This window comes from Homo sapiens, chromosome 11 (genome assembly GCF_000001405.40).
Source record: "Homo sapiens chromosome 11, GRCh38.p14 Primary Assembly".
In the NCBI taxonomy this organism is placed as follows: Eukaryota; Metazoa; Chordata; class Mammalia; order Primates; family Hominidae; genus Homo; species Homo sapiens.
The window spans coordinates 55,362,677-55,370,411 of record NC_000011.10 but is presented as its reverse complement, the minus strand read 5'-3'; the positions used below and the strand labels follow the sequence as shown (position 1 = coordinate 55,370,411).

Below are 7,735 nucleotides of genomic sequence, written 5' to 3'. Positions count from 1 at the left end.
AGAGGACAGGAGGACCTTCTTCCTGAGTTTAGCTTCCTCATCTCTGCATCATGGCTTGGGTGGTGAAACTTCAATCCCACTGTGCTCACTCCAGTATCCAGATGTTGGATTCCCCAATTCCAATGATTATGAAGTTCTAATTCCTGATATGAGATTCCTTTCTTACTAAAAAATCTACAGCACTTTTCATTTCCTTAACTAAAGAATAAATACAATTTCATGGCTTATTTTTTTTTCAATATGTGTTGAATAACTGGAAGCATTAATATTGCTAAGTGCATTAAGTACATCTATTATAAACTGAGGAAAGGAAAAAGAAAAAAATACCAACTTTTTACCTTAATAAAGATGGTGTAGGTTGACTTCAACAAGGCAATATGTTATGCCATAGCCATTAAAAATTATCTTTGTAATACCGTATTAGTTCTCTAAACCCACTGTAGAGCAACTCTAAACAAAGAAGACACCTTTGATGTATCACTTTGTATCACTTCAGTCAATGAGATCATATAGTTCACAGAGATTCTGAAAGCTACTTATTGTGTAAAGCAAAACAATCCGTTTGAAAAATGTTTGACATTCATTGTGTGTGTGCGTGTTTTTAAAGTGCACCCAGAGAGTTTAATGTGGGTAGATTCTGTGGAATCTACTGTTATATATGAGTGGCTTAAGCACCTATTTCAGCTATTGGGGGAGGTCAATTGATCTAGGTATACAGAATGAGATTAAACAATTTTTCTGTTCAAAAACTGGTCAAATTATACAAAAACAACTATATGCTATCTGGACATCCTAACTCCATCACAGTATGAAATTAACAAAGTTTATTTCTCATTGATTTATCCTCAGCTATCAACATATCTATGAAACTTTAAATTCATTAATTTCACCAAGACATTTATTTGTACTGTTAGATTAACATTCTTTTAACAATCTAAATTTTCACGTTTAATATATCATTCTCTTGGATGAAAGGGAACAAATTTTCTTAGATCACATTTATATGTGCCAGGAAGATATCACAGACCATAAAGAAGAATAGATTTTTGATGTTACCACACACAAAAAATCAATGTTGGGGAGGTGACAGATATATTCATTAGACTGATGAAATCTTTCTATAATGTATACATAGATCAGAACATCACATTGTACTCCATAAATATACCCAATTATTGACAATTTAAAATACATAAAAAAGAAAAATAAATAAATGATTTTTAAATAAAAAAGAGCTTGAAATAAAACTAAATATTGTTATCAACCAAAGAATCTTAACACAGTATGATTACAAAAACAGTACACACTGTTAAACCTATGCAATTTTCTTGGTCTGTAATGGGTGTAACATATTACACCTAGACAAATATTAATTTATATGACTGCTTCAGAATAAGTAAGCTAAAAAACTAAAAGGAAATGATAACAGAAATGTAATCAGATAGGATAGTGAAATTGTTCCTTGCTTCTGTGAAAGAATGAATGTCACATTCTCATGAGTGATACAGCCATTTCCCAGCTAAGCTTACTTTTTTACTCCAAAGTTTCCTCATGGCACTTTTCATTTCTGCATTCTTCAGGGTATAGATTAGTGGGTTCAGCATGGGAGTTATAAAAGTTAGAACTACAGTCATGGATTTATCAATGGGAAAAGTAGAATTGGGCCTTGCATACAAGAAGATACAGGGGACAAAGAATAAAATGACCACAGTGACGTGGGATGCACAGGTGTAGAAAGCTTTTCGTTTCCCTTCCAAACTCTGAGTCTTAAGAGAGTGTAATATGACCCCATAGGAAAGCAGGATAGTGAAGAAGGTGACAGCACAAATCGCTCCTCCATTAGCTATCATAGAAAGCCCAGTGACATAGGTATTGGTGCAAGCAAGTTTCAATAAGGGATACAAATCACACAGGAAGTTGTCAATGACATTGGGTCCACAGAAAGGGAGCTGATAAATAAAGAGAAATTGAACCAATGAGTGAAGAAAGCCTCCAATCCAGGCCGCCAACAGCATAAGAACACAGACTCGACGATTCATGGTGATCAATTCATGAAGAGGCTTACAGATGGCCATGTATCGATCATAGGCCATTACCACCAGAAGAATGACTTCAGCACCAGCAAATAAATGATCCATAAAAAGTTGAGCCATACAACCCTGAAAGGAAATGGTCTTTTTCTCAGAGAGCAAGTCAACAATCATTTTGGGAGCAAATGCAGTAGAATAGACGGTATCTATGAATGATAAAGAAGCCAGAAAAAAGTACATGGGGGAACCCAGGGACTGGCTGGCCATGATGGTCACTATGATAAGCAGGTTGCCCATTATCGTCACCATGTAGATTAGTAAGAATGTGACAAATAAAACCTTTTGCCCCTCAGGGTTCTGTGTGAGCCCTAAGAGGATAAATTCAGTCACATTGTTCTTATTTTTCATGTGTTCTTCTGAAGGTGTTGGACTCAGGTGTCGGAGCCTACAAACAAAAGGGTCAGTGATAAATTTGAGATTATTTGTCAGAAGCTCCATGTCAAAAATGTGATGCCTTATCGACCACGTTTTCCCTGACCAGGGCCTCACACAGAGCAGCTCATTAGAAAAGAAGTGTTTAGAATATCCTCCCACAATTATCCTTTTCATTTTTACAAATGGGACATGGATGAAGCGGGAAACCATCATTCTCAGCAAACTATCACAAGAACAGAAAACAAAACACTGCATGTTCTCATTCATAAGTGGGAGTTGAACAAGGAGAACACATGGACACAGGGAGGGGAACATCACACACCGGGGCCTGTTGGGGAGTGGGGAGCTAGGGGAGTGATAGCATTAGGAGAAATACGCTATGCAGGTGATGGGTTGATTGGTGCAGCAAATCAGCATGGCACATGTGTACCTATGTAACAAAGCTGCACATTCTGCACATATACTCCAGAACTTAAAGTATAATTTTAAAAAAAGAATTTTAAAAAATACAAATGTATTGCTTTAACTGCAATGATGAGGCTTCATGATTTTAACTGGAAGGTATATGTGAGTGAATATATATGTGAGATAATCTATTACAGATCAAAATAGAGCTGCTTTCTTGAGAACATCCCTTAAAAAGACTGTATTTTTGATATTTATATAGTATTTATCTTTTTTTGAACAGATTTTGTCCTTCCATGATCTATCAAGAAAACAGCCTCATATGTGTTGACTTTACTTATATATTTATGTAAAGTAGTACCCAGTATATGGAGCATAAGATTACAGGCTAATGTTTAGATATTTGCCATTCTGAAACACTGTACTGTGAGCTCCTAGAATCCAGGAATAACTCGCTCAAAGAACCAGACACATTGTGAGTGCTCACTAAATGTTTATTAAATTTTATTAAACCAAATTTCAAAGCTCAGAGAGCAAGTATGTGGAAATAAATGTATTAAAATCTTGCCAGCCATGAAAGTCCAATGAAAGCAAAGTTTTATTTGAAAAGAAACTACACACACACACACACATATACACACACACACACACTGAATTTTCATCTATTACAACGTAGGTCATTAGAGGAAAAAAACAGGTAATACAAATCAAAGTCGGGGGGCAATGCAGAGACATTTTCCCCACTTTTCGCATTTGTTTAAGACTGATCATGGCTAATTACAGATTAATTTGGAATGTCAAAAATAAAGACTCCAGGCAAAATCATGGTGTAGTAGAAATAATTCTATACTAAAAATCTGAAAATATTAGTTGATTTTGAGCTTAGTCATCTCAGGAAAATCACATCCCACCTTATAATTCCTTACTGGAAATGTAATGATCCTTCCAGATAAATGAGTTTCTGGATTCTTATCATTGACACCTGTATCCTAGACAACATGATGACATTTTTGCTGGTAGACCATTTTTATATAAACCAGGTTTAGTATGTGCTAAAGGTTATTTAATTATTAAAGTAATTAATACATAAGGGTTTTTTCATATTATTAGTTCTTGGTTATTGGAATTTATGTCAAATACAAAATATTCATTCTCACTTGAGTAAAATAAATCAAATAATCTGTTGGGCCTTTCAGATGTGATCCAGGCCCAATTTTATGTGTCATATACACAAGTTTGTATTAGCAGGATTATTTTAAATATGCTCTGTGTTAGTGATGATCATTTGTGATAGTCAGGAGATTATTCTATCTATGCATCAAAGCAAGCCAAGACATCTTTAAGGATCAGAGGGAGAGTAAAAGTGTAGACATAAATAAAATAAGAGATAACTTAGTAAAGGCATATGGAAATAAGTAAAGGCCACAAGCTGAATGAAATATTGGTAAGCATTTTGGGTGAGGGAACTGAATTAGTTGAGAGCAGAAGAATATCAGATTCCCAGAGCTGTCAATCAGGAGGTGGCCAGAAAGGTAACTCAGCATCAGTATCAGCACTTGCTTCTAGGAATCTTTATACATTTGGGCCAAAGAAAAATAAGAAAATCAGATTTTAAACTTTAGGGTAGGTCAGTAGGTAAGATTAGCTTCCTTGGAAGTTCTGTCTTTGGGGATTCTGATATTTTGTTGCATATATACATAATTAAATACCTTTACTGGCAATTATGAAACTATTCTGCATTTATAATGGAAATGAGTACTCATAATTTATAGGAGCTATCTGAGCATTCAAGAGAAAACTTCCAGTAGGACAGTCTCTCCTGTTGACATTTTGTACTTATAACACTTATTTGTTTATATCATTTTAAGTACTCAATAGATATTTCACTTATTAAAATGTTCTTAAGAGCATTACTATTATTCTAAACTACCGAAAATTATCACTTTGAATGATTCAAAATTCTGTATTTTATCAATGTATTTTATGAAAAAGTATATATCTGATTGAAACATTTGTAATATTCTTCAAATTTCTTAACATATTCAATGAGAACAAGTAAATCATTAAGAAATACTCAAAAAAGTGAATCTGTGATAGGTATCCCAGAGTAACAATTTTTACAAAATATCAATGAGAACAAGTAAATAATTAAGAAATACTCAAAAAAGTGAATCCATGATAGGTATCCCAGAGTAACAATTTTTACAAAATATAAAAACTTGTATTCTGAAAAGTCTACTTCCTAAGTAAATTTATGCACCTACACATACACCTTATTAGAAACGGTAATTTAGTGTCCATGGAAAAAGAGGTTATAAATTTCATTAGGTACAAGATCTACAGAAGCTTAGGGAAAATGCCAACATCAATTTCTGCCTGTGAGTTAATTATGTGAATATGTCCCTATTTTTAGGGTTTTAAAATTGTAGTGAGTAAAACTGGACACATCATGTTATGTACCCAATTGATCCCCTAATCTATAAAAAGGTACCTCAGATTAAATTAGTTTTAATGATACATGTCAAAGAGCTATGGAGAAAGACAGATGGTGAATTTTCACATGGTGATGTGAATGTTATTTGGGGTATATGCACAAAAGAATAGAAATCAAAGACTGAAACAAATATTTGGACACTGATGTTCAATAGCAGAATTATTCACAGTAGCCAAAAAATGGAAACAACTTGAATGCCCATCAATTAATGAATGAATAAACAAATTGTAGTATATACATACAAGGGGATATTATTCAACCTTAAAAAGCAATGAAATTGTGATAATGCTACAACATTGGTGAACCTTGAAGACATGCTGAGCCGGACACAAAATGACAAATATGTTATGATCTCACTTTTATAAGACACCTAGAATAGTCATATTCACAGACACAGAAAGTACACTGGTGGATACCAGGGGCTAAGGGGAGAGGGTAAGAAAAAATTATTGTTTGATGGGTATGGAGTTTCAGTTTAGGATGATGAAAAGGTTTTGGAGATGGGCAGTGATGATAATTGCACAACAGTGTGTTATGTATATTTCATCACAATAAAAAAAACACAGATAAAAGATCAGCACAGAACCAGAACATTTTAAAATACTATATACAAGGTAAAAAAAATAAAGAACTATAGTAATCCCTACTATTATTATCAATGTATTAAGATATAAGGTAAATAATTGTTGTATTCTCTAAATTACATAAAGCAATCTAAATGAAGCCATTATAAATAATAAATATAATCATGTTATATTGTTACGTTGTACTATGCAATTTCTGTATTTCAATATGTAATTTAACAATTCTAATTAAAAATTTAGAGAACATTATTGCCATTGTACTTATTCTAATAATATTTTATAAAATGAAGAAAATGTGTAAGATGTCTTATTCTTGGAGGTTCTGGCATAAAATGCTGGAGATTAAGTGATAAAACCTACTTCTTAAGAAAGACGCATAACTCATTCAAATAAAATCTATTTTATCCCTATCATAATAGCAGTGAAAAACTTTTTGTAAATTTGTTACCTTGGTTTTCTATCTCCTCCTTGGTCACTTGTTCCAAATCCAGGCTTATGCAGTTTTTTCTTTGGTCCTAGAAGATGACTGCCTAGTTTGTTGAAAATTAGTCAGGATTAAAACCCTGTGAATCCAGGCATGACTGCAAAGAAAAGAAGAGGGCACACGGTCACTAAAGTTGCAAATGCTTTGTCACACAGGGATGTATCTCCTTTTGCCTGAACAAAGAATGATCATCTTCTCCAACTTTCGTAAATATTTTTGTTTGGATTATGGGATTATCCAGAGTTGGTTTTGGGAATAAACAGTTGATATGACTGATGAATCATCAAATTGGAAAGATGTAATTGAGAATGTATATATTAAAATTAAAGAAATTTAAAACCTCCCTATTAAGTTTACTGACCTCATTGGTTGAACGAACCTTTTAAAACATTCTTGGTCAATAGTGCACAAAGATAATCTAGAAACTTGGCTTTGTTTTGAATATTTTAAAAGCACTCATATGTTCATATGACTGCTTTAGTATGGTTCATGTCTAGTAAGATAATAGCTTTTATTTTATTTTTGACACTAACATTAATACCTGAGGAGAAATCTTCTCTCAGTTAAGACAAGATGTGACTTAACAATAAACAACAAAATATTTCACTGAGTTGTTCAAACTGTTTGTCCCCACGGCTGCTCATTCCATAGTAATTCACCGAGGAATCATGCCCCAGAGAAAAGAGCCCTTCCACATGATCTTTCCAGGGTATTCTATATTTTTAGAAGTTTCTCCTTGACAATTACTTTGGAATAATTAGGTGCAAAAAAATTGCACTGTAACATCAAAGAGCAAGTGCCTTATTAAAAACAAAGACACAAATTTGCATGAACAAGATTGCTTTGCTTCTGATTAAAAAGTATACAGTTGAAATTCTCAACTCTAAGAAGGCACCAGAGTAAAATGGAAAGCTTAAGGCTTTGTGTATGGCAAACATACCTAATGAGAATAGCAAAAGATCATTGTTAGTCAACTTACTAAAAGTTTCAATTCAACTCAGATGAGATAACATCCACATATCAAACCCACCTCAGAAATTTCATCCAGAGAGGGGAAAATATTTCTTAAAAAGAAATACAGAAACTAGTAATTAGGACCTATAATTTTAAAATGATTATTATGAAGTAAGATAAGAAAAAATTAAAATACGGAAATATTTGACACTTGATATTCAGATGTCTTTTATATAATAATGGCAGCTCCTGAAGTCAGAATCTCTCTACATATCCTCCAAAAATAACTCAATACATACAGCACAGCAAGTATATAATATCACACATAACTAGGACATTCAGCATAAGT

General features: G+C 33.2%; 1 protein-coding gene across 1 annotated transcript; it reads right to left on the bottom strand.

Moving 5' to 3' along the window:
- Positions 1 to 1,493: 1,493 nt before the first annotated feature.
- On the bottom strand, positions 1,494 to 2,438 carry OR4A15 (olfactory receptor family 4 subfamily A member 15). The gene has a single exon (NM_001005275.2). It carries the CDS (start codon positions 2,436 to 2,438, stop codon positions 1,494 to 1,496), a length of 945 nt encoding a protein of 314 aa, NP_001005275.2.
- Positions 2,439 to 7,735: the final 5,297 nt, after the last annotated feature.